The 26,798-nt window shown below is 41.8% G+C and overlaps 3 non-coding genes across 3 annotated transcripts, besides 6 other annotated features; 2 read left to right on the forward strand and 1 right to left on the reverse strand.

Annotated features, from left to right (window-relative positions):
• Positions 1-533: 533 nt before the first annotated feature.
• TRH-GTG1-5 (tRNA-His (anticodon GTG) 1-5) lies at positions 534-605 on the forward strand. Its single transcript has one exon. It is a non-coding gene; the product is annotated as a tRNA-His (tRNA).
• Positions 645-694: a silencer, noted in NCBI's record as "silent region_17020". NCBI's record gives its function as "represses an Ori minimal core promoter by ATAC-STARR-seq in GM12878 lymphoblastoid cells {active_cell/tissue: GM12878}" and the evidence as "EXISTENCE:reporter gene assay evidence [ECO:0000049][PMID:35858748]".
• Positions 4,678-4,751, forward strand: TRT-AGT6-1 (tRNA-Thr (anticodon AGT) 6-1). The gene has a single exon. It is a non-coding gene; the product is annotated as a tRNA-Thr (tRNA).
• Positions 19,534-20,611: a transcriptional cis regulatory region, noted in NCBI's record as "candidate enhancer chr6.1219 targeted for multiplex CRISPR interference". NCBI's record gives its function as "positively regulates H4C8 gene expression in K562 cells {active_cell/tissue: K562}" and the evidence as "EXISTENCE:mutant phenotype evidence [ECO:0000015][PMID:30612741]".
• Positions 19,601-19,750: a silencer, noted in NCBI's record as "silent region_17021". NCBI's record gives its function as "represses an Ori minimal core promoter by ATAC-STARR-seq in GM12878 lymphoblastoid cells {active_cell/tissue: GM12878}" and the evidence as "EXISTENCE:reporter gene assay evidence [ECO:0000049][PMID:35858748]".
• Positions 19,622-19,695, reverse strand: TRI-AAT5-2 (tRNA-Ile (anticodon AAT) 5-2). Its single transcript has one exon. It is a non-coding gene; the product is annotated as a tRNA-Ile (tRNA).
• Positions 19,953-20,152: an enhancer, noted in NCBI's record as "active region_24271". NCBI's record gives its function as "activates an Ori minimal core promoter by ATAC-STARR-seq in GM12878 lymphoblastoid cells {active_cell/tissue: GM12878}" and the evidence as "EXISTENCE:reporter gene assay evidence [ECO:0000049][PMID:35858748]".
• Positions 20,343-20,442: an enhancer, noted in NCBI's record as "active region_24272". NCBI's record gives its function as "activates an Ori minimal core promoter by ATAC-STARR-seq in GM12878 lymphoblastoid cells {active_cell/tissue: GM12878}" and the evidence as "EXISTENCE:reporter gene assay evidence [ECO:0000049][PMID:35858748]".
• Positions 20,793-20,852: an enhancer, noted in NCBI's record as "active region_24273". NCBI's record gives its function as "activates an Ori minimal core promoter by ATAC-STARR-seq in GM12878 lymphoblastoid cells {active_cell/tissue: GM12878}" and the evidence as "EXISTENCE:reporter gene assay evidence [ECO:0000049][PMID:35858748]".

Below are 26,798 nucleotides of genomic sequence, written 5' to 3' on the forward strand. Positions count from 1 at the left end.
GGCTGAGTGCGCGAGCGCCTCACTGGCTTCTCATAGGTACCTGGGTCAGGACGAAGCCACATAGTTCCTCGTGATGAGAAACTCACTTCTGGCACCTGTCGAGATGCCAGATTCCATGCCAAGCCCCCGAAGATTCTGACTAGTTTGGCAAAAAATGGGATCTGGCAGGTCCACTTCAAAGCAGCGCCCTCTTCCTTTTGTTGCCAAAGATCTGAGGACCACACTGCTAAACTGAGCAAGAAACATGCGTGGGTTGGAGATAGAAGTGAGAATAATGAGTTTACAAGCACAGTATTACCAACCCCCAAAAACAACCACCACGCTGGGAAAATTCCATATAATGAAACTTAATGTGTTACCTTTGGCTTCTTTGCCATAAGCAAAATATTGGGGACGGGGAGTGGATAAGGAAGTAAACTGGGTAGGTGTGTAAATAAGGACGAAAGACTGCACCATTCTTTAGATGACAAAAACAGACGTTTCTGGGAAATAAGCAAAGGAAGAGCCCCACAAGCAGCGGCCTCTGGTGGCGTGCCGTGATCGTATAGTGGTTAGTACTCTGCGTTGTGGCCGCAGCAACCTCGGTTCGAATCCGAGTCACGGCAGTACCTTGATGTCGCCTCAATTTCTCAACGTACTGAGCAGTACCTTGACGTCGCCTCAATTTTTCAACATACTGGAGTGGAGACAGTCTCGGAAAAACCCTTGCAAAATTGAATTGACTTACGATCTAATCTGTACACAAAAAACACTAGTATTCATCATGGTGCCCCAACCAGTCAGCCAAGCAGAGAGTGTCTACGCTTGTTGCCTTGTCTTTTTTTTCCCCTCTCCAAAGATTCTCTTCCCAACCCTACCCAAGCCCTACAGTCTTGTTGGCATTGGCTGTATGTGAAGAAACTGAGGTAATTTTTTTTTAATGGAAAACTTTTACTTTCAAACACTGGTAGGCATGAGGAAAGGACTGTTCAAAAGGGGATCCAGGTTTGTTGTGGAGATCTTTCTTAAAACACAAAAGACAAATTATTAATCACGCGTTTCTAAGTATCCTAGCTGGACCAATGCTGAAAAACTGTAACCTTTGATCATCTGGAGAAAATTAAAGAAATTTGAGTAATTGAAGGAATTTGGGTGGGGGGGAATAATGGCCCAGAAGAACAGCCCCCATTTCTAGCCCGTTCAGTTTCTAGAATGAGTTCTAAAGAGCCAAGTAGACTGGGTGAGGCGGGAGTGGAGGAGAGCTGATCTGAGATACGGAGGTGGCTGGAAAGAAGTAGTTGGTGCTACCTAGGACCAGTAGGAGGTGGCTGGAGACAGGCAGATCCCCAGAGGCGCTTCCATGAGCCCAGTTCTAGTTAGTAGCACAGCACTCTGAGAACACATTAATGGCACTTCGTCCCTCCTGGCCCTGGTGGAAGGTTAGTATTCAAACAGGTGTGGTGGCTCATGCCTATAATCCCAGCACTTTGGGAGGCCGAGGCGGGCAGATCACCTGAGGTCGGGAGTTCGAGACCAGCATGGCCAACATGGTGAAACCCCGTCTCTACTAAAAATACAAAAATTAGCTTGGCATAGTGGCATAGGCCTGTAGTCCCAGCTATTCGGAAGGCTAAGGCACGAGAATTGCCTGAACCCAGGCAGTGGAAGTTGCAGTAAGCCAAGATCACACCACTGCACTCCAGCCTGAGTGACAGAGTAAGACTCGGTCTCAAAAAAAAAGAATACTCATACTTTTAGCAACTTATCAAAAATTTCAGCAAAAGAGATTTGTTCTTTCCTTCTTGGGGCTAAAATAGCCCCCATTTCTTCTCCAACTGTCCATCCAGCTGACATGGATTCTGAAACTCAGAGATATTGTAATTGAGCTGAGCTGCCTTATACTGTAGGATATCATCTCTCCAACAGGTCAGGTTCTAGGCCTCTTCTCAGTAATTTAATAGCATTTGTAGTGGTTATTCATGTTCACTTGTATCACATTCTACTTCAATTTTCTTTTTAGTCTATTTTATCTTGACTCAGTCTTACAAGAGTGAAGACAGGGATCAAGTATGTATTGACCCTAAAGGATCAGTTCTTGTCAATTATTTTGCCACAAGTGAATGATAAAACTGCTAAAGCAATAAACATTTTGATCTTGCAATTCTCCAGAACACATTTTCTCAGATCTTACTGGCCTGAGTAGCAGAAATCTATGGACTCTGACTCAGAGGCTATCTCTTAGTGAGAGAGCTAGGGTCCTAGATCTATTACAGAATAAAATTGTAGTGACAAGTGAGTAATAGGGCTCAATAAAACCCATGCTGTATGATTTGCTCGAAAAGTAGAGAGCTTGCTTGGCGTGTACCATATGATACTCAGTGCAAAGCACATGTTTATCTTAGAGGTGTGAAGTTCTCTGGTTCACAATAATGTTTTGCAGCTTTGAGTGAGCATTGCTAGAAATCTGGTATAAACAGGGGAATTGTGAGATTAAAAGCTTGCATTTTATGAATGCACTAATATTGGTATGGAAGTATCTTACACAGTCTGCCAACCACATTTTCAGAAAGAAAACTGTTTTACTCTACCTATGGCATTCATGGTCTTGAAATGACTTTTTAATATTTCTATGTTTTATCATTCTCATCTCTCCATGGAAATTAATGAAAGTTACCACCTTCTAAGATTGTTCTAAAGATTTAAGGGTGGTAAATGCATGATGGCACTAGCTCAGTAAGGTACAAACAAACAAACAAAATAATAAAATAAGCCATTTTTGGAGCTAAATAAATAAATATCATTGCTACTTAAGTGGTGGAAGGCCTTCATGCAGTAGTAATATTGCAAAGACTGGTACCAGACTCAGCATCTATTTAACTTGACTACAATCCTGTGCTTCTTTGATGCTGATAAGGTAGTTCTAACAATAATAAGAAGGGTTTTGTCTGTCCTCAGTATTGAGGCTTATTTGAAGATCTGAGCAAGGCTTTTTATAAGGCGGATGTTGGCCAAAATGTTTGCTATGATAGGCCATAAGTTTAGGGAAGACACAGATGTTGTGGGAAAAGGTAGGTTCTAGAAAGAATAGCCCCAAAAGTCAGGGAATCAGGAAAAGAACTTTCCTTCTAATGTCAGCAGAAATCCGGATGAAACACTTTAAGCAGGGGTTTCGTAGTGTTAATTTCTCTCAAGGGTGCAGCAATCTATCTGTAGCCACACCACTCCAGCACCTACTTTATGTTGAAATGTCTGCTTGTATCTTGGAAAGATTTCCAAAAGGAGAAACAAAGGGCTTTTCTTCCAGGGTTTTACACATACCAAGATTTATGAAACACCTGTCAGTGAGAAACAGAAGTCGGGGAATACATAACTAAGCTTCACAAAAAACCTCAGCCAATAAAGCTGAAAAATTGGTATAACCTGGCTTTGTGATTAGCTAGGTAGTGAGTAGAGGTTCATGACCCACAGGAAATAAATCAGAAGCAACACCAGGCTTGGTTAAAAAATAAAAACTCAACCTCAACCTAAGTAATTTCTCATCTTTCCAGGGTCTTGCATTTTGTGGATGCTTAATGAATGCATATGCAAAGCACCAGGCAGTTATTTAAATATTTCAGGATATTGGTTTCATCTGCTTTTCCCCATGCTAAGCTGCATTCAGCTAAACATTCCATGACTCCTTCTGCATTCATTAAACTGACAAAGAACCTGAGATAAAAGGTCATGCAACTCTGTGAGGCCCAAGTGAGAGGTTCCCACAGCATCCTGTGAGGGCTATCACATTGTACTCTACTTTGTTCTCTACTTCTCTGTATCATCCACGCAGTTTTACAATCTATGTGGGTCTAGAAATTGAGTCTATTTTAACCCAGCAGGCAAATGAGCAGAACAAGACTATGACAGAAGCAAAGATATCCATCCAGGAGAACTCCCTGTGTACACCTAACTCATTGTTTCTAACAGCAGATCTCCTGTTGAGACCAAAGCTGTCTTTGAAACAGAGGGTCTCAAGGTGCCTAGTTTGGGTAAGTGGGAAGCAGGGTGACCACAGATCTCCACGACATCACTGTGTCCTCGTCTAGGCTCACTTTCTTGTGCCAGATTAGATAAAATAGAAGGAAGCATAATGGTTTTACTCAATTGCAGTGAATTAGCTCAGAAGGTAGTGTCGTGGGTTCTATAACCCAGCGGTAAAGAGATTGGTTTCCATATCACTTGTGTTTTTGTTTGTTGTTGGATTTTTTTAGTTGGTTAGTTTGTTTTGGGGTGTTTTTTGTTGTTGTTTTATCTCCCTGTAGAACATAAATTCAATAATGGAAGAAAATTTTGCTGTTTTATTCAATGTTCTTTCTCCAATACCTAGAAAAGTACCTGAAATGCAGTAATGACTCAACATTTGTGGACAGAATGAATGCACGAACAGAGAAATAAATTTAAAATATGTTGCGATATCCAATATTTCCTGTAGGGGGAGATAGTCACCATGAAATAGAAATTTCACTCATTTCAATTTGAAATAAATTCTGAAATCTTGCATTGAAGAAAAGTATTTTTTTTAGTGTTGGAATTGCTGCTTTGTTGCTGGTTCAGAAACACAGATGTGCTTTCTTTGTCACAAAATTAAGTACACTTTTGTCAAATTGATACATTTTACAAAAATGTTATAAATACGATATATCTGAACATATGCCCAACAGGGGCCCTGTGGCTTAGCTGGTCAAAGCGCCTGTCTAGTAAACAGGAGATCCTGGGTTCGAATCCCAGCGGGGCCTTACGTGTTCAATTTTATATTTTCAATAGTATGTTGCAAATACATATGTTGAAAATGCATTAAGGAATTTATAGGTTGTGAAATCCGTATTGAGCGATTAGCACAATTATGGAGAGTCCCTTGCAGGTAACTGCATCACAATATGAAAGGGTTGGGATGAAGGGAAAAATTAATAAAGTTTCTGTTGGTAAAAAGCAATGGGTTTGCTGATGACAGGTAAGACTGGGGATATACAAGTTGTACAAAAAAAAAATCTTGTAATACATAGTAGAGAGTAACATTTCAAATTCTGTTGTAGACGTTCAGTCTCCAGCCTCTTAACCTTGATAGCCATCATTTTCAGCTACATGATAGATTTTGATTATCAGTGTCAGGCAAATAATTAATAAGTCATGGCATTTTGTTTGGAGTCTGATTCACTTTGATTTTTGAAAACAAGAGAGCAACAGTGCAATTTATATTCTCACCATTTCTGTTTTGTATGACCCTAAGAATTGTCTTATTTGTGCATCTAGGATCTAGGGACTCAATGATATCTCGAGGAAATAAATCACAAATGAATGAAGACTTTCCTGAATCTTAAGTGGCATTGCAGTTCATAAACTAAAGTGTACCCTCTACAGCACTGGCCTACTCATTAGGCTTCTCAGTTTTATCTAAAGAGATTTCAAATGTTATTATCAGAGTTCTACCAGAGTCATAGTCTTTTCACTGCTGTAAAAGTAGTCCTGCACTGTGCCTGAAATCATTTATACTTCAGAGTAAATCTGAATTCTGCTTTCTCATTTTATTCATAGCAGTTCTCTCCCACCTACTTTCAAAGGAATGTGAGCAAAAGAGATTGTCACAAGCCTCAGCTTCACTTCTAAGAAAACTGATATTTAAAGGATCCTGAAAATTGGAATGCTGCTATTGAAAAATTTGTAAACAATTGATTAAGCTATGTCTTCAAAGTTTAAGTATAAAAATACAAACTTGAATACTACAGTATTCTCTCCTTCTTGCAAACTAAATTCAAAGAAGGCTGAAAATATCTTAAGATTTATATATTACATGTCATAGTGTTATTCTTGCTCTACGCTTACTAAAAGCTCAGAGAGGAACAAATATGTTCTCAGGTACATTTCAGTTAAGTGGCCCTAAACAACCTGTGTCTGAAATATTAAGTGGAACACACAAATCACATACCAAACTCTCACTACCTGACACCTGTCAGTTACTCCAAACTCAACCTACACATTGAAAGGAAGCTTCAGGTCCGGTGCGGTGGCTCACGCCTGTAATCCCAGCACTTTGGGAGGCTGAGGCAGGTGGATCACAAGGTCAGGAGTTCAAGACCAGCCTGACCAACATGGTGAAACTCCGTCTCTACTAAAAATACAAAAATTAGCCGGGCATGGTGGCATGCGCCTGTAATCCCAGCTACCCAGGAGGCTGAGGCAGGAGAATCGCTTGAACCCAGGAGGCAGAGATTGCAGTGAGCCGAGATCGTACCACTGCACTCCAGCCTGGGCAACAGAGCCAGACTCCATCTCAAAAAAAAAAAAAAGAAAAAGTAAAAGAAAAGAAATGGAAAAGAAAAGAAAGGAAGCTTCCTCCATTATTAACATATTTGCAGACTGTCTCACAGCCTGGTTTTGAAAGATGAGGAAGTAGAATTCTCCCTTCCCCCTGTTATATTTATGAAAGAAGGGAGAAGTAAATTAAGAGGAATGACAGAAGATGACACAGAATATATGGTGTCAATGTTATTTAAAGCTTTGCAAAATAACAGAGATTCAGTGAATAATTTTTATAGTGACATGAAATATTCTTAGAAAGACAATGATTAAAAGGAATTCAAGAAAGCAAGATAAACAAGAAAGTAAGATAAGATAAATAAAACAAACCAAAATAAACAAAAGATTTGCTGGGTTTGGTGGCTTATGCCTGTAATCCCAGTACTTTGGGAGGCAGGCGGATCACCTGAGGTCAGGAGTTTGAGACCAGCCTGGCCAACATGGTGAAACTCCGTCTCTATTAAAAATACAAAAATTAGCCAGGCATGGTGGTGTGCACCTGTAATCCCAGCTACTCGGGAGGCTGAGGTACGAGAATCACTTGAGCCCAGGAGGCGGAGGTTGCAGTGAGCCAAATCACACTACTGCACTCCAGCCTGGGTGACAGAATGAGACTGTCTCAGAAAAAAAAGCCTTCAAGCAAAACAAAACAAAACAAAACAAAAACAAACACTTGAAAATAAAATATCTGACAGTTTATGAGCAGTAGCTTTGGTTTTTAAAGATATCGATTTATAAATCAAATCTTGAAATATGATGTTTTAATGACTTTTTAAATAATTTTCTGTACTCTAGAGCAGGCAGAACATTCTTCACACAGAGCATTTCATCTCAAAAGCTTTCTGCTCTTTGTTTTAATTCTCCGGTGGCCATCAATTCACTTCTCAGAAGACTAATATTTAAAGGACCACGCGAATTGGAATGCTGCTATTGAAAACCTTATAAGGAATTGATTAAACTGTGTCTTCAAGGTTTAAGTACCTAAAAATACAAACTTGGCATGCTTGTTCCATTAGCAAACCATCCCAACACATATTTTTATTTGTATTTATTATTAGTATATATTTGATATTAAACAAGATGCAATAAGCCATAATTTCAGTTATTTATTTAAATGTTAACTTAGTCACAACTTTACTTTGTTCATTTGAATCTAGCATTTCTAGGCCAGTGGTTTACAATTGGAGATTTGCATCACTTACCTATGGAGTTTTATTAATATGCAAATATTTTAGGACCTACTCCAAGCTTACCAAATCTCCGTTTGACATTATTAATATATTTTTTATGTTTTTATTTTTATTTTTTTAGAGACAGGGTCTCACTCTGTCACCCAGGCTAGAGTGCAGTAGCATGATCATACCTCATTGTAACCTCAAACTCCTGGGCTCAAGCAATCCTCCCATCTCAGCCTCCCAAAGTGCTGGCATTACAGGTGTGAGCCACTGCACCAGCCTTTATTGATATATTCTTGGCATAATCTTATCATGTGGTAATATCTTTGTGGTATATCATGTTGTATCTTAAGACTTTTTTCTTTGTAAAAATTATGTTCATCCACTTTAATAAATTAAATGCAATGTCTACTCTTGTCTTTGAAAATATAATTAATCAGTATGTTCATAACTATTTTGTCTAAAATTGATTTTGGATTGGCTTTATTGTCTTCTTTTACAGGCCACAGAAAAACCAAAACTCCTTATTAGTGTCATTATTTGTATTATGAACTCTCATCAGATATTTCACTTTTTTTTTTTCTTGAGGTGAAGTCTTGCTCTGTCACCTAGGCTGGAGTGCAGTGTGGTGATCTCGGCTCACTGCAACCTCTGCCTCCCAGGTTCAAGCAATTTTCCTGCCTCAGCCTCCCAAGTAGCTGGGATTACAGGCATGTGCCATCATGCCCAGCTAATTTTTATATTTTTAGTAGAAGCGGGGTTTCATCATGTTGGCCAGGCTGGTCTCGAACTCCTGATGTCAGGTGATCCACCCGCCTCTGCCTCCCAAAGTGCTGGGATTACAGGCATGAGCCACCGCGCCCAGCCAGATCTTTCACTTTTGAAAATTGTAAGTAATAGATTAACTATAACCATTTTAAGTCTTTTGTCATCTACATATAGTTATTTTGTTTTACTTTGATGCTGCATTGAAAGCCCTTGCAATTAGCTATAGGCCAGAGTGCTTTATCTTCAACAAAGAAGAACTCTCAAAACCTTATGGAAAAAGACTATGCCAGGTACTTTTGGGTACAGGCTTCTGAGGGCATCACTTAAGCAACTTTAAGACCATATCATTCTACCAAGGCAGCATTTCCAAACTCTAGTCAAGAAACACATGGTCTCATGAGAATGTGCTAGGGAAATAAAACAATCCTGCCAACAAAAATACCCTTCTGTACCAATAGAAGAAAGAACATCCTTTATTGAGTGTGCATTAACAGATGTACATGTATGTAAGGCAGCATAAAGGTGATGACAAAATTAGAACAAAATCTCACTCATCTTACATAGCAAAGCTGAAAAAAGAACAATAATTCCTCTTAACTTCTTGAAAAGCAAAGAGCTGCACCTCATGACACTCTCCCATTCATCTTTGAGAGAGACCCCTGACCTAATTCTAGAGCTACCTTTTCTACATATCTAAAGTTTATTTGGTCCACCAGCTTGGAAATAGCCCTACATTGCAAAATCTGGAGACTAGGTTTAATCTTTTTTTTTTTCTTTTCTTTTCTGAGATAGGCTCTCCCTCTGTTGCCTAGGCTGGAGCACAGTGGCGTGATCATAGCTCACAGCAGCCCCAAATTCTCCAACTCCTGGGCTCAAAGGATCCTCCCCACCTCAGCCTCTCAAGTAGCTAGGACTACAGGTGTACATCACTACATCCAAGCATTTTTTTTTTTCCTTTTACAGATGGGGGTATCACTATGTTGCACAGAGGCTGATCTCAAACTCCTGGGCTCAAGCGATCCTCCCGCCTTGGCCTCCTAAAATGTTGAGATTACAGGTGTGAGCCACTGCACCTGGCCTAATCTTTAAAAATACTAATCTCTGCTGAAGATTAGCATAAGGACTCAGACTCACTATGTCTACAAGGAAACTCTATAAAGAGAAATGGGCACTTTGCCATACATGAATGGAGAACATAATTTTCATTTACCCTTACAACTGCTAACTGGAGATCCAGTGGGGCCAGAATTAATTACCTAGAACTACATGAATTTATGAGGGATGGTTGTAGTTATTATTTAGAATATTTTTGATGTCTTTTTAGTGTTCTATTTTCTGAATGCATAAAAAAGCACTTTCTCTTTCCTCTCTTTTTTTTTTTTGAAACGGAGTCTCGCTCTGTTGCCCAGGCTGGAGTGTAGTGGCACAACCTCGGCTCACTGCAACCTCCGCCTCCTGAGTTCAAGTGATTGACCTGCCTCAGCCTCCCAAGTAGCTGAGAGTGCAGTGATGCGATCTCCGCTCACTGCAACCTCTGCCTCCCGGGTTCAAGCGATTTCCCCGCCTCAGCCTTCCGAGTAGCTGGGACTACAGGCGCGCGCCACAGTGCCCGGCTACTTTTTTGTATTTTAGTAGAGACGGGGTTTCACCATGTTGGCCAGGATGGTCTCGATCTCCTGACCTCGTGATCCGTCCGCCTCAGCCTCTAAAAGTGCTGGGATTACAGGCGTAAGCCACTGCTCCTGGCCGATTTTTTGTTTGTTTGTTTTGTTTTATTTTGTATTTTTAGTAGAGACGGGGGTTTCACCATGTTGACCAAGCTGGTCTTGAACTCCTGGCCTCAAGGATCCACCCACCTCGGCCTCCCAAAGTGCTGGGATTACAGGCATGAGCCACCGCGCCCGGCCTCTCCTCTTAAGCTATCTATGTTATGAGCCATTTACTCATAACAATTTAGCAGACTTTGCTTTTGTAAACTAAAATTAAACATTTGTAAATATCTTATTGTCCCTACCTGACCTCTCTAAAATTGGGAAACTCTTATTAAGTATTCTTATTTTCATGGCATTATAGGTATTTGCATAGGTTCAGTAAGAATCTGTCCTTTTTTTCACTAGGACATAATTGGAAACACTGGTCATGCAACCAAGGCTTTGCCTCAAATGTCGCATTTGAAAATGGTGTTCATTTGATCAGGTATAACCACACATTTTTTAAAAAGTAAGGTTGACGTTATGGAGACTTACAAAGCAATCTCCAGGAAACTAGCCTGATACCTTGTTTCCAGTGTTCCTAGCCTTCTAAGTGAGTGTCTATAGAAGGACATTTCCTGGCAGGCCCAAGAAACTCAGAATGTTTTAGGGACTTTGAGAAGAGAGGTATTCACTCAAATTTACAAGTACTGCAGGTTAAATCTGGTCATGAGGTCTTGGCTTCTGAACAAGCAACTAAGAACGAAAACAAATAATAAGAGTCTTTATTTAAAGTCCAATCTGTGACTCCTTGTGAAAACTTCCAGCAAAGCAAACTTAAGACAGCCTATATGCTTCACAGATGTAATCAGGTCAAATTAATGACCTCATTCTTATTTTATGACGAAGAATATTATCCTTTTTTTGACAAGAATATTCTTTTGAGATTATTTTTGGTCAAAAGAGGGTAAGTCTGTAAGAAAATAATTTTGTTTCAAATGAAAACTATGCATCGTCTAAATACAGCATATGCTTCTGGGATATCAGGTTCTAGCCTTTTATTATCTTTGAGTTATTTTACAGTTTTTTGTAAATTAATAGGCATGCAAATTCTATCTTGTCCAGTACAGTTTCAGTTGATTTCTGACATGGTTTGGATGTTTGTCCCCTCCAAATCTCATGCTGAAATATGATCCCCAATGTTGGAGCTGGGGCCTGAGGAAGTGTTTGAGTCATGAGGGTAAATACTTCATGAATGACTTGGTGCCCTCTCCTCAGTAATGAGTTTGTGTGAGAGATCTGGTTGTTAAACCTGAGCGTTCTCACGAGGAATCTCAGATTGGACTTTAAAAAGAGACCAGGACTTTCCTTCTCTCTCTCTTGCTCCCTCTCTCACCATGAGGCGCCTGCTCCTGCTTCACCTTCCCCATGAGTAAAAGCTCCTTTTGGCCTCACCAGAAGCTGAGCAGATGCTGGTGCCATGCTTGTATAGCCTGCGGAACCATGAGCCAAATAAACCTCTATTATTTATAAATTATCCAGCCTCAGCTATTCCTTGATAGCAACGCAAAATAGACTAACACAACTTTCCTCCCACAGTGGAAAAACCAGTTTTCTCTCCATTTCCAATGTAATTCTTCTACTCCATATAAATTTGTGTTTTTTGACTTTCCCTTTAAACTGGTTATAACATCTGTCTGATTCCTTCACTGAATCAGCAAAATAAGATATTTAATCTGTATTCATTATTTTTATTGAGATAAAATTTACATAACATAAAATTAATCATTTTAAATTGTACAATTCAGTGGCATTTAGTATGTTTACAATGTTGTGCAGTCATCATTTCTATCCACTTCCAAACATTTTAATCACCTCAAAAGCAAACTCTATACTCATTAAGCAGTCACTCCCCATTGTTCTTTTCCCCAAATCCTGGCAACCATTAATCTAAGTTCTGTGTGTATGAATTTACCTATTCTGGATATTTCATTAAATGGAATCATACACTGTCAGCCTTCTATTGCTTAGCATAATGTTTGAGGTTCATCTGTGTTGTGTATATATGAGTACTTCATTACTTTTTATGCTGAATAATATTCACTGTATAGATGTACCATATTTTCCTTGTGCCTTTATCAGTTGATGGATATTTGTGTTGCTTCCACCTTTTGGCTATTGTGACAGTAATACTATAAATATTCATGTACAGGTATTTGTTTGAAAACCTGCTTTTAAATCTATTGATTATATGCATAAGGGTGGAATTGTGAGTTCATATGGTAATTCTATGTTTAACTTTTTAAGGAACTACTAAACTTTTCTACAGTGGCTGCACCATTTTACATTCCCGTTAGCAATGTATGAGAGTTCCAGTTTCTCCATATTCTCGCCAACACTTGTTATTACCTGATTTTTTAATTCTAGTCATCCAAGTAGGTATGGAGTGGTATCTCACTAATTTGCATTTCCCTAATAATTAATAATGTTGATCATCTTTTCATGTGCTTGTTGGTCATTTGTATATCTTCTTTGAAAGAATTCCTAGTCAAGTCTTTTGCCCAATTTTTAATTGGTTTGTTTTCTTTTTGTTGTTGAGTTGTAAGGGTTTTTAAAAATATACTCTGGACACTAGACCCTTACCAGATATATGATTTATAAATATTTTGTCATTCTTTTTTTTTTTTTTTTTAAGACAGAGTCTCACATTGTCGCCCAGGCTGGAGTACAGTGGCATGATCTCCTCTAACTGCAACCTCCACCTCCCAGGTTTGAGCGATTCTCCTGCCTCCCGGCTAATTTTTTACATTTTTAGTAGTGATGGGATTTCACTACATTGGCCAGGTTGGTCTTGAACTCCTGACCTCATGATCCACCCACCTTGGCCTCCCAAAGTGCTGGGATTACAGGTGTGAGCCACCACACCCGGCCTTTCTGTTATTCTTTAGGCTGCCTTTTCACTCTTCTGATATGTCCTCTGATCCACAAAAGTTTCTAATTTCAAGAAGTCCAATGTGCCTATTTTTCCTTTTGTTGCATGTGCTTTTAGTGTCATATCTATGAAGCCATTGTCACATTGATGGTCATGAAGATTTATTCCTATTTTTTCTTCTAGGAATTTTGTAGTTTTAGCTCTTCCATTTAAGTCTTTGATCCATTTTGATTTAGATTTTCCATATGGTACAAGGTAGGGATCCACTTTCATAGTTTCACCTGTGAATTTTCAGTTATTCCAACCCCATTTGTTGAAGAGATTATTCTTTCTCTCATTGAATTGTCTTGCTGGTCCTTGTCAAAAATTAACTGGTCATAGGTATACGGCTTTATTCCTGAACTCTCATTGATCTATATGTATATATGCCAGCACTGCACCATTTTTATTATTGTAGTTTTGTGGTATCTTTAGAAATCAGAAAGCACAAGTTCTCCAACTTTGTTTTTCTTTTCTTTTTTTTTTTTTTTTTTTTTTGAGATGAAGTCTCACTCTGTCGCCCAGGTTGGAGTGCAGTGGCATGGTCTTGGCTCACTGCAACCTCCACCTCACAGGTTCAAGTGATTCTCCTGCCTCAGCCTCCCAAGTAGCTGGGACTACAGGTACATACTACCACACCTGGCTAATTTTTGTATTTTTAGTAAAGACAGGGTTTAACCACGTTGGCCAAGCTAGTCTTGAACTCCTGACCTCAAGTGATCTGCCCACCTCAGCCTCCCAACGTGCTAGGATTACAGACGCGAGCCACCACGCCCAGCCTGTTTTTCTTTTGATTGCAATAACATATGAATTTTAGAATCAGCCTTTCCATTTCTGCAAAAAAAAAAAGTTATTAGGATATTAATAGGGATTGCATTAAACCTTTAGATAGCTTTGGGGCAGAATTGCCATTTTAATAATACTAAGTCTTCCAATCTTTGAACATGGGATATTGTGATGGTTAATTTTATGTGTCAACTTGGCTAGACCACAGTACCCAAACATTTAGTTAAATACTATTCTAGATATTTCTGTAAAGGTATTTTTTGGGTGGGATAAGCATTTATATCTGTAGACTTTGAGTCAGATTGCTCTCCATAATGTGAATGGGCCTCATTCAATCAGTTGAAGAGAAAAAAAACTGATGTTTCCTAAGGAAAAAAGAATTCTGTCAGCAGAATGCCTTCAGACTCCAGCTGTATGATCAATTCTTCCCTGGGTCCCCAGCCTGCTGCCCTACCATGAAGGTTTTTTTTTTTTTTTTTTTTTTTTTTTTTTTTTGAGAAGGAGTCTCGCTCTGTCACCCAGGCTGGAGTGCAGTGGCGCGATCTCTGCTCACTGCAAGCTCCGCCTCCTGTGTTCACGCCATTCTCCTGCCTCAGCCTCCCAAGTAGTTGGGACTACAGGCGCCCGCCACCATGCCCGGCTAATTTTTGTTGCTGTTGTTGTTGTTGTTGTTGTATTTTTAGTAGAGACGGGGTTTCGCCGTGTTAGCCAGGATGGTCTCTATCTCCTGACCTCGTGATCCGCCGGCCTCAGCCTCCCAAAGTGCTGTGATTACAGGCGTGAGCCACCGCGCCCGGCCACCATGAAGGTTTTAAACTTGTTTCCACAGTTGCAGAAATCAATTCCTGAAAATAAATCCCCCCTCCTATATACATACACACACACACACACACACACACACACACACACATCCCATTGGCTCTGTTTCTGGGGAGAACCTTCACTAACACACATGCCTTTTCTTTTATTTACATCTTCTTTAATTTCCTATTAAAAAAATAAAAGTTTCTTCCTAATTCTAATTAAGAATGTTCTTACCTTAGGAAAGTGAAAGAACTCTAGTTAGGGCTTGCAGAGGTACTAAACCAACACACCTTTTATCCCAACCTCAACCCTGGAAAGATAAAGCAAAGTGAAAGAAAATGCACAGCAAAATAGATATAATCCTGAAGATTTTTAAAGAATAATTTTTTAAAATTAAACATTATGCAAATACGTGCCACACTTGCTTTGTCCATGCATATGCGCTATACACAATTTTGAAAAATACTGTGTTGTCCTCTTGTTTTAAAAGTTATATACAGGCCGGGCACGATGGCTCACGCCTGTAAATCCCAGCTCTCTGGGAGGCCGAGGCGGCGGATCACCTGAGGTCAGGAGTTCGAGACCAGCCTGACCAACGTGGTGAAACCTTGTCTCTACTAAAAATACAAAAATGAGCAGGGCGTGGTGGCACGTGCCTGTAATCCCAGCTACTCAGGAGGCTGAGGCAGGAGAATCGCTTGAACGTAGGAGGCGGAGGTTGCAGTGAGCCGAGATCACATCACTGCACTCCAGCCTGGGTGACAGAGCGAGACTCTGTCTAAAAAAAAAAAAAAAAAGTCATATACAAAATTTTGTTTTGTTTTGTTTTGTTTCGTTTCTTGCTGCCTAGCCCCTTCGTCATCCCAAGATTTTCTTTACAAGGACCTGAGCATAATTCACTCATTACCTTGGGGTATGAGGGCAAGAGTCAGACTGTGTGGTGGGGGTGTGTTTGTGTAGGGGAGGAGGGGAAGAGGCCTTTTATCGAATTACAACAAAATGTCTGGTTTGGACATGAAAAGCAGTGTCAAGGAGCTGTTTGAAATTTTAACTGTTCTATACTCAGGAAAAAGAAAAAAGAAGTCAGCTTTGAGAATGAAGCTATGTTACAAGTTAAAGCTGGAGGGCTTTTAGTGTGTCTGTTACAGCTTCCTTTTCTTTTTCTTTTTCGGTTTTTTTTTTTAAAGGCAGGGTCTCATATCTGTCACCCAGGCCGGAGTGTAGTGGCGCGATCTCGGATCACTGCAGCTTCTGCCTCCTGGGTTCAAGAGATTCTCATGCCTCAGCCTCCTGAGTCGCTGGGATTAAGGGAGCACACCACTATGCTTGGCTTTTTTTTTTTTTTTTTTTTTTTTTTTTTTTGTATTTTTAGTAGAGATGGGTTTTGGCCATGTTGTCCATGGCTGGTCTCAAACTCCTGACCTCAAATGATCCACCCACTTCGGCCTCCCAAAGTGCTGGGAATACAGACCTGAGCCACCGTGCCTGGATGTCTGTCATAGTTTTGTTGGTGGCCTAGAGTACTGTTGTACAATGTTTTATCTACCTTTTCATTAAAATATAATTTACTTAAACTTTGCATCAACAAGACTTCTGGTACTACAGACCAGCGGTGTCAGAATAGGCTTAGTGCCTCCTTGTTGATATTTGTTTTGTTTGTTTTAATTGCAATGAGCACTCTAACATCTTTAATCTCTTTCAGCAATGTTTTGTATTTTCCAGAGTACAATTCTTGCATCTCCTTGGTTAAATTTATTCTGAAGCATTTTATTCTTTTCGATCGTATGCTTATTTTTATATCTGTATGAGAGCTACGGATTTAGCTTTTTCTGAAAGTCATCTTTTAACAAATGAATATGTAATTTCCTTTGATCAACAGAGTGTTATGGATCCCCTACTTGAAGACTCTTTGGAATATCACATGGCTTCATATAGAGTTTTATTCACATTATTAAAGTAAAGGTGTAATCTTCTCTCTCTCTCTCCAATCCTGCTTATATACTTCCTATCCTCAGTTGTGGGATGAACTTAAATGGTCTAGATTCAGCCGGGCGCGGTGGCTCTTGCCTGTAATCCCAACACTTTGGGAGGCCGAGGTGGGGGTGGGGTTATCACCTGAAGTCAGGAGTTCGAGACCAGCCTGGCCAACATGGCAAAACCCCGTGTCTACTAAAAATACAAAAATTAGCCGGGCATGGTGGCGGGTGCCTGTAATCCCAGCTACTCGGGAGGCTGAGGCAGGATAATCACTTGAGCCTGGGAGATGGAGGATGCAGTGAGCCAAGATCACACCACTGTACTCCAGACTGGGCGACAAGATGGAAACTCTGTCTCAAAAAAAAAAAAAAGTTTTATTTCTGTACAGCATATAATGCTGTTTGAAAGCATTACAAGTGTTGCTAAATTAGACATCTCCAAGGCATATCAAGTGAAAAAAGCAGAATGTAAAATAGTGTGTATAATGTTATATTTTACATAAGTAGAAAGGAAAAGTAAAATGTATTATGTATATTTGCACCTATTGCACAAAGAACACTAAGGAGAATACATAGGAAACTAAGAAGAATTGTCATATATAGGAGGTAGTGCTGAGAACTGAGCAGATGTGGGTTATGAGGAAGAAGAAAATCTTCACTTTTAGTTACTGTTTATGTGAATGTATTAACTTTTCATATATATGCATATCTATATCCTTAATTTTTAATGGATCCTAAGAAGCTCCCTCTTTTTTTTCATTCTTACTGTGTTGATGTTGAAAATTATTGTCCCTCATTTTGAAACCATATTTCATCTTACACTGCACTGAAGAGAGGAAGATAACCCAGGATAGATAGTAGGAAGTGTGGGTGGGTTAACAATTTCTTGTTTTGTTAGTTTTTCTATTACTTCCTTAACAAACTACCACAAATTTAATAGCTTAAAACAACATCCATTCATTATCACACAGTTCTGTGCGTTATAAGTCTGGCAGGGTGTCATCAAACTAATACCAAAACGTCAGCAGGCCCGGCCATGTTCCTCATGGAGGCTCTAGGGGAGAATTCGTTTTCAAACTCACTCAGGTTGTCAGTAGCATTCAGTTCCCTGCAGCTGTAGGACTGAGATAACGGTTTACAGGTTGTTCACAGTTTCTAGCAGATGCCTGAGTTCTCTGGCTGGTGGCTCCCTTCGTTTTCAAAGTCAGCAACTACCTGTGGAATCCTTCTTATACTTAAATCTGTATATATCATCTAATATACAATGGACTAAGTAGTAGGTACTCTTCATTAATTTATTCTAAAGAAATCTTTTTCAGTCGCTGACTTTGAGCTACTTACTGTTTTTGACGTGAAAAATCACAGCACTGAGCAAAACAGAGGGAGCCCCTTCCCTTTGTGATTCGCCCACTATGTCCTTGGCGCTGTTTTTGAGCCATTATTTACCTCATTATTTATCAATATTGTTAATGTCATTTTCATAGCAACCCATGTTTTAAAATAAGAGAAGGGTAAAAATATGTTGGGAGGATGAAGAGTGAAGGAAGAAATGTAAATGAGACACGTGCCAGGCACACGGGGACCCAGTGACCAGACTCCAAGAAAGCGCAGGACAGGGCTGGGCGCGGTGGCTCACGCCTGTAATCCCAGCACTTTGGGAGGCCGAGGCGGGCGGATCACGAGGTCAGGAGATCGAGACCATCCCGGCTAAAACGGTGAAACCCCGTCTCTACTAAAAATACAAAAAATTAGCCGGGCGTAGTGGCGGGCGCCTGTAGTCCCAGCTACTTGGGAGGCTGAGGCAGGAGAATGGCGTGAACCCGGGAGGCGGAGCTTGCAGTGAGCCGAGATTGCGCCACTGCACTCCAGCCTGGGCGACAGAGCGAGACTCCGTCTCAAAAAAAAAAAAAAAAAAGAAAAAGAAAAAAAGAAAAAAAAAAAGAAAGCGCAGGACAGAAAGAGCGAGGTGCTAAGACTTAGAGTGGACCCAGAGGCTCTGGCCCTCCTGTCTCCCACCACGCACTCCATTTTTGTCACATTTCAAACCTATCGCTTTTACGATATATGTTCAAAAATTGTTTAATGAACTGTAAATGGCTTGGTAAGGGCCGCATCGTAAATGGCTTGGTATGGGCCACATCGAGAACAGCTGTCAAATATAAGCCTAAGGCTAACCACGGATCTATTTTAACACTGAGCAGTTGTGGCTGAGTGTCTGGAGCTTGGCAGAAAGCAACGTCACAAGTCTGGCTTTTTCCCACGTAGACTGAACCCTCGCCCTCAAAGCTACAAACACAACAATTTAACCAACTGAGTGATCAACTAGGAGAAGAATCAATATGATCTCTTTCAAAAGCTTAAAATATGTCAAAATAGTATTATCTCAGAAAGTTTTTTTTTCCCAAAATAATACAAGACATTATCGAATTCTTATTTAACCCTTTTCTAAAATCACCCACCCACCTCATTGAATTTCCTTTAAAAAATCTTCATCCTGGCCGGGCGCGATGGCTCATGCCTGTAATCTCAGCACTTTGGGAGGCCAAGGCAGGCGGATCACCTGAGGTCAGGAGTTCAAGACTAGCCTGGCCAACATGGTGAAACTCCGTCTCTACTGAAAATACAAAAATTACCCAGGCATCGTGGCACACGCCTGTAATCCCAGCTACTTGGGAGGCTGAGGCAGAAGAATTGCTTAAACCTGGGAGGCGGAGGTTGCAGCGAGCCAAGATCGCGCCGCTGCACTCCAGCCTGGGCGTCAGAGCAAGACTCTGTCTCAAAAACAAACAAAACAAACAAATAAGAAAAACCTTTTCATCCTAACTCGTATATTATTTCTTCAAAAGAATAAAAAACGTGCAAATCTAATGCTTGTCTAGCTATTGCGACCACATTTACAAATGGATAGGCAGCGCTCCGGAGTTGGATGTAAGACGGTAGTATACAATCCAGGTGTGGTCGATTTAAGAAAAAAAAAAAAGAAAAAAGAAAAAAATTCCTGTCTAGCTAGTGCAACTACATTTATAAATGGATAGGCGAGGCTACGGAGTTCGATGTAAAACCGAAGTTTACAAGCGAGGTGTGGTCGGTGTAAAATAAAAACGAAAAAGAAGAAAAAAAAAAAAAACAAACCCACGGAAGTGGCCCGTACGGGGATCGAACCCGCGACCTTGGCGTTATTAGCACCACGCTCTAACCAACTGAGCTAACCGGCCTCCTTGGTGGGAGGGTCTTTTCTTATGTTTATTTAAATCATACCTGATCCATGCCCGCTGAATTTTTTTTTTTTTGTAATAGAAGCGTTACTTTCCCTTTTATTAATAAAATATATTTTTTTTTAAGAAAAGGAGAATTCCTCACTGTAGGCACAGGAAAACCATGCTGTTTCAGGGAAAACAATCTCAAACCACTGATTCTGACTGGAGAAAACTCAGATTCAACGACCCCAAGCAGGGCTTCCTTCCCCTCACCAGGTGAAGGACTCAGAACAAACCAAAAAGCAGCTCCAAGCTTGCGATCGCGGCCAGTTCCTCACGGAACCAACCGCAGAGCCGCCGCAGGTTCGCAGGATCGGAGGGTTCGGAGGACTCGGAGGGTGCGGATTCCTCTCTGCTCCTTGAGACCATTCCAGCCAGGTGGGCTCTTAGGCCTGGGAACCTGGGAAAGTGCACTGTCTCGCCTCCTGGCCTCGCGGTGGTTCCGCAGTCACCAGGACCCGAAATTCACAGCTGTGCGTCCTAAGCTTGCAGCTCCACAAACGATAAAATCAGACTTGGCCCTGCAGTGCCGGGCACCGGGCCCTTGGTGATGCTCGAGTGCCGGGCTGGCATCGGCGTAAATGAAAGGACCAGCGGGACGGCTCCTTTCAAGAGTCTCTGACTCCTTCCGTCCCGGGAAGACCAAGACACCCACATCTAAGACAAGGGAAGTCACCATTATCTACACCAATGATAAACGCCGGTATCTGGGAGGAACTGAGCCCAGGACCGGGTCAGGCAACTCAGAGTGTTGGGACAACTAAGTCCCTCTTCAAAGACTCAACTTTCTTGTCATAAGTTGCAAAAGTTGTACGTCAATCCTGCCTGCCCCCCGCCCCCCACCACACACATACACTCCTTTTTTTCGCAAATCCAGGGTTTACCCTATTTGCCAAAGTTTAAGTCTTAGCCAATCGGGATCAGCTTAGATTGTGCGGTCCAACCCCAGCCAATAGGGGAAGGACACAGAAACAGGAACTGCGTTAGGATTAAAAACTCCTTACCTCCTTTGTTTGGTGTGCTCTTGCAATTGTAACAGGCAAGGAGCACCCTTCTGCAGAAGTAAAGATGCCTTGCTGAGGAATTTTCTAAGTGAGGGTTTCTTTTGGCTACACCAAGCACTTGTTTCCAGTAAATCTTAGGGACTCGTCCGGGATCCCATTCTCCTTCGGGAGGGGCTAGCGATTATCTTTCATGGGGAGACGCGTCCCATTGCCTCGTGGTGGCCCCAGGAGCGGAGGATCGAGTCCCGCCCGAAGTGACGAATAAATCCGGACTCTCAGCAACGCGGACAGTAGGGAGGATCCTTAAGAATTCTGTGAGACCAGCTTGGTCAATACGGTGAAACTCCGTTTCTACTAAAAATACAAAAATTAACCGGGCGTGGTGGTGCGCGCCCTTAGTCCCAGCTACTTGGGAGGCTGAGGCAGGAAAATCACTTGAACCCGGGAGGCAGAAGTTGCAGTAAGCCGAGATCATGCCACTGCACTCCAGCCTAGGCAACAGAGCGAGACTCCGTCTCAAAAAAAAAAAAAAAAAGAATTCCATGGCGACCACAGGTAACTCTGTGCACAGACCAAGGTAAGAAACGTTGCTATTGGGGCGGCAAAGCCTTCCTTGGTGGTTGGGGTCTCTGGAGTTTTAAAGTGTGTGAGTGAGACATACCACTGGGCGCAAGGCGAGTGCGGAGTCCGGACTTGGTTCCGTGGTCACCTCATACGGCTTAGGGCGGTTTTCCAATCAGGGGATTCCACCTACCCGCCAATGCTAAGAGGTGCCTAAAATTCCCGCAAGGGAAGCAGCCAATAAGGACGAAGTGAGTGCTCACGAGAGTGCAAGAAACCTCCAGTGGAAAAAGGGGAGGTTGAGCCTCTAAGACACGGGAGTGCAAGAGATCTCTAATATTATATATTAAGCCTCACCAACCTCCAGGATGGGAAATAACCCCAAGTAAGACAGAGACTCTAAAAGGCCAAGCAGACAATAAAATTTCCCTCACAGTCCCCTAGGCCTAATGTTAAAATACTGGAAGGATAATGAAAGGACCAAACACAAGAAAAGACAGCAAATGATAAAGTACTGCTGTTTTATTTGGACTAAGGAACCCATCCTCAGACCTTCGGTCTTTTGGCCAAAGTTTGGGTGGGACGAGGACTGGATATGCCAACTCCTGATCCAGTATGTCAATGATAAAAGCCCAGTTTCTCAAGAGGAGATAGATTATGCTCTATGTTGGAGACAAGGACCTGTCCTTCTCTATCCCTTAAAGGACGAAAAAGCAAAGCCAAACTCAAAACCCCCCAAAGACGACCTAGCTAAGTCATATTCTATATCCAAAGATGCACGGGATCCTCTAGACCACCTTCCCCTGCCTACCTCTCCGCCCCGACTGAACAACAGCCCTTCCCGCACCTACCCCTCTGCCCCAAGCTAAAACTCCGTCCCTCCCCCATATAACCCTGCCCCATGGGCCTTGACACCACACACCCCCGTTGGACAGCCACTCGAACATGCCCCTCCCTTAGGAAAGCTCCAGTGGCAAATAGAACAATGCCAAAGGGATATTCAAAACTTTCCTTTCCTCTCTTCAAAGAAGTCTGCCCCAACCTTTTTTCCCTTGAGGGAAGTACCACTAGGAGGAGGGGATATTGGCTTCGTAAATGCCCCCCTTAGCTAGTGAAGAAGTTAGAAATCTAAAAAGGAGACTCAAACCACTGTTAGATGACCCTTTTGGAGTCTCAGATCAAATTGACCAATTTATGGGGCCACAACTGTATACCTGGGCTGAATTGATGTCTATTCTAGGTATTCTCTTCTTAGGAGAGGAAAGAACCATGATCTGCAAGGCTGCTATGATAGCCTGGGAGCGCAAGCACCCCCCTCGTCAGAATGTCCTTGCAGCAGAGCATAAATTCCCGGCCCAGGACCCTCAATGGGATAACAACAGTGCGGCTCACCGGGAAAACATGAGAGATAGGGATATGATAATTAAAGGGATTCAGGAATCAGTTCCTCCAACCCAAAACATTTCCCAAGCATTTAATGTACAGCAAGAGAAAGATGAAGGGCCCATGGAATTCTTAAACAGACTTAAGGAACAGATAAGAAAATACGCAGGTTTGGACATAGAGGACCCACTAGGACAAAGGATGTTAAAGCTCCACTTTGTCACCAATAGTTGGCCAGACACTATAAAGAAATTATAAAAGATAGAAAATTAGAAAGACTGTCCCATAGAGGAACTTTAAAGAGAGGTCCAAAAGGTATATGTACGGAGGGATGAGGAAAGGCAGAAGCAAAAGGCAAAAATTATGCTGTCCACCCTACAACAGGGAACTTTTCAACAGGCATCCCAGGGAAATAGAACTTGTAAACCTTCTGAGTACCAGGCTGCCAGACCCTATACAGGAAGCAAAGGGACGAAACCTGAGAATCAGGGAACCAGGAGGGGGAGAAGGAAAAACAGATGTTTCAGATGTGGAAAGCCAGGACATTTTAAGAGGAAATGTCCCGAATGGGAGAGGGAAAAGAAAGTCCTTTCACTCATGACATTTGAAGAACAGTGGGCTCAGGGGCTCTACGTCTTCCATCTTGAGTCCCACCAAGAGCCCTTGATAAATTTAACGGTGGGACCCAAATTGGAAATAGTCACTTTCCTGGTCAATTCGGGAGCAGCTGGCTCCTGCCTATGTTTTCTCCCATCAGATTTATCCTGTTCAGCCGAAGACCTTACTGTCTCAGGAGTTAAAGGGGAAGGATTCAGAGCAAAAATTCTAGAGGAAACCGAAGTCAAATATAAGAATAAGTCGGTTGCTACTAAGTTCTTCTTAATTCCTGAAGCAGGAACTAATTTATTAGGAAGGGACTTAATGTTAAGGTTAGGCACAGGCCTATATGTTAATCAAGGAAAACTCCTTACTTCCTTAAACGTACTCACCACTTCAGAAGAAAGCCGCATCCATCCCAACGTATGGTCGAAAGAAGGGAATCGAGGATGGGTTCCTCCAATCCATGTCAAATTAAAAACTCCTGGGGAAATAGTGAAACAAAAACAATACCCTATTCCCTTGGAAGCCAGGATAGGTTTATAACCTATAATTGAAAGCCTTGTCCACGAAAACAATACCCTATTCCCTTGGAAGCCAGGATAGGTTTAAAACCAGGATAGTTTTAAAACCTGTAATTGAAAGACTTGAACCCTGTATGTCCCCTTATAACACTCCAATATTGCCTGTAAGGAAGTCAGACGGGTCATACCAGCTAGTGCAAGACCTCTGGGCTATTTACCAAATAGTTCAGACCATCCACCCTGTTGTTCCCAATCCTTACACCATTTTCAGTAGAATCCCGCATAACCACCAATGGTTCACGGTGACAGATTTAAATGATGCCTTTTGGGCTTGCCCTTTAGCAGAGGACAGCTGGGACAAATTTGCCTTTGAGTGAGAGGACCCTCACTCCGGTCGATGGACAGTCTTGCCCCAAGGTTTACAGAGTCCCCAAATCTATTTGGTCATATTTTAGAGCAAGTCCTAGAAAACTTCTCCCTGCCTTCATCCATATGCCTACTCAAATACGTAGATGTCCTGCTCATTTCAGGAGATAACAAGGATCAAGTAACAGCAATTTCAGTTAACTTCCTAAATTTCCTAAGGGGACAAGGATTACGGGTCTCAAAGAACAACATCCAATTCATAGAATCTGAGGTAAAATATCTAGGACACCTAATCAGTAAAGGTGAACGAAAGATAGGATCCGAACGAATTGAAGGTATCCTGTCTTTGCCTTTACCTGAAACAAAGCAGGAACTTAGGAAATTATTAGGATTGGTTGGATATTGTCATCTGTGGACTGACTCTTATGCCTTAAAAACAAAGCCCCTATATCAAAAACTCACTCAAGAAGGACCAGACCCCCTCCTTTGGACCCCATCAGAGATCCAACGGTAAAAGAATTAAAACACCTACTTGTAACTGCCCCTGTTCTAACTTTGCCCTCCTTAGAACAGCCATTCCATCTTTTCATTAATGTAAGCAAAGGAGTGGCCTTAGGGGTACTCACCCAAAAACATGGAGGCCACCGGCAGCCTGTAGTCTTTCTGTCAAAAATCCTTGACCCAGTAACCCGTGGATGGCCCGAATGTGTTCAATCCATAGCAGCAACTGCCTTGCTAACAGAAGAAAGCAGGAAAATAACCTTTGGGGGAAACCTCTTCGTAAGTGCCCCTCATCAAGTCAGAACCATTCTTAATCAGAAGGCAGGGAGATGGCTCACTGACTCAAGGATTTTAAAATATGAAGCTATCTTATTAGAGGGAGATAACCTAACACTAACCACTGACAATTCACTCAACCCCGCTGCTTTCCTAACAGGAAATCCAAACCAGGAGGAATGTGAGCATAACTGCTTAGATCTAATCAGTTTTCAAACTAGAGTCAGACCGCATCCAGGCATGAAACCCCCTTCCAAACAGGGCATCACCTCTTTATAGACGGCTCCTCCCAGGTCATTGAAGGAAAAAGGCACAACGGGTACTCCATAGTTGATAGGGAAACCCTCACAGTGGTAGAGTCAGAAAGACTGCCAAATAAGTGGTCTGCCCAAATATGTGAACTCTTTGCATTAAACCAAGCCTTAAAATCCCTGCAGAATCAGGAAGGAACTATTTACACTTACTCCAAGTATGCCTTCGGAAAAGATCTGGACTGAACGAGGCCTCATCAATAGTAAGGGCCAAGATTTGGCCCACAAGGAATTAATTATGCAAGTGCTAGAAAATCTTCAGCTGCCGGAAGAGATTGCAGTTGTCCATGTCCCAGGACACCAAAATAACCCATCTTTTGAAAGCCGGGAAATAACCTCACAGATTAAGTAGCTAAGCAAGCTAGCAAGCTGCCTATTCCCAAGAGGCACCCATTTTCCATCTAACCCCTTGTCTTCCCCCTCCAGCTGTGATCTCCATCTTCTCCCACACAGACCAAGAGAAACTCAAGAAAATAGGAGCTAAGGAAAGCCCAGAGGGGAAGTGGGTGTGGACAGATGGAAGGGAAATGCTGTCTAAACCCCTCATGAGGGAAATATTGTCACAGCTTCACCAAGGAACTCACTGGGGTCCTCAAGCTATGTGCGATGCAGTCCTTAGAGTCTATGGGTGTGTAGGGATATATACCTTCACTAGGCAAGTGGCGGATGGTGCAGAAAAACTAATAAGCAAACCCTAAAGAGGCAACCTCCCGGGGGAAGAAACCCAGGGTTGAGGCCGTTCCAAAGCATCCAAGTTGACTACACTGAAACGCCCCCAATAGGCCGTCTTAAGTATTTAGTAGTAATAGTAGACCATCTCACCCACTGGAGAGAGGCCATCCCCTTCCCAAGCACAACAGCTAGTAATGCAGTCAAAGCCCTTTTGGAACATATCATATGCAGGTTTGGACTAACAGAGAACGTTCATCTGGAAAATGGGACCCACTTCATTGCACACATCATTAAGGGGCTAACCCAAGTACTAGGAATAAAATGGGAATATCATACTCCCTGGCACCCGCCCTCATCAGGGAGGGTAGAAAGAATGAATCAAACTCTAAAAAAATCTCCTAACCAAATTAATCTTTGAAACCTGGTTACCATGGACAAAATGCCTTCCCATTGTCTTACATTGCCCTCGAATTCCCAGTTAACCAACACCAGCCTCATCAAAAGTTGGAAAGAGGGAAAGCTCGAACCAACATGGGAGGGACCTTATCTAGTACTCCTAACCACCGAAACAGCAATCTGAATGGCCGAAAAAGGATGGACCCACCACACTTGAGTGAAAAAGGCCCCATCCCTTGCAAAGTCATGGACTGTCGACAGCCCCCAAACTAACATTCAAAAGGGTTTAATCTGTCTTTTTCTTCTTTCTTTAGCTACCCAAGGATATCTTATCATCAGTATAACCCAGTCACCCTCCCCCAAAACAATTACATTTGATGCCTGTCTTGTCATGCCCTGCAGGGATGTCCAAAGTGAAAGACAGCTAGCCTCTTCAGAAAAGTAACTTTGTCCCTCTAAGATAGACTGTA

This window comes from Homo sapiens, chromosome 6 (genome assembly GCF_000001405.40).
Source record: "Homo sapiens chromosome 6, GRCh38.p14 Primary Assembly".
Taxonomy (NCBI): domain Eukaryota; kingdom Metazoa; phylum Chordata; class Mammalia; order Primates; family Hominidae; genus Homo; species Homo sapiens.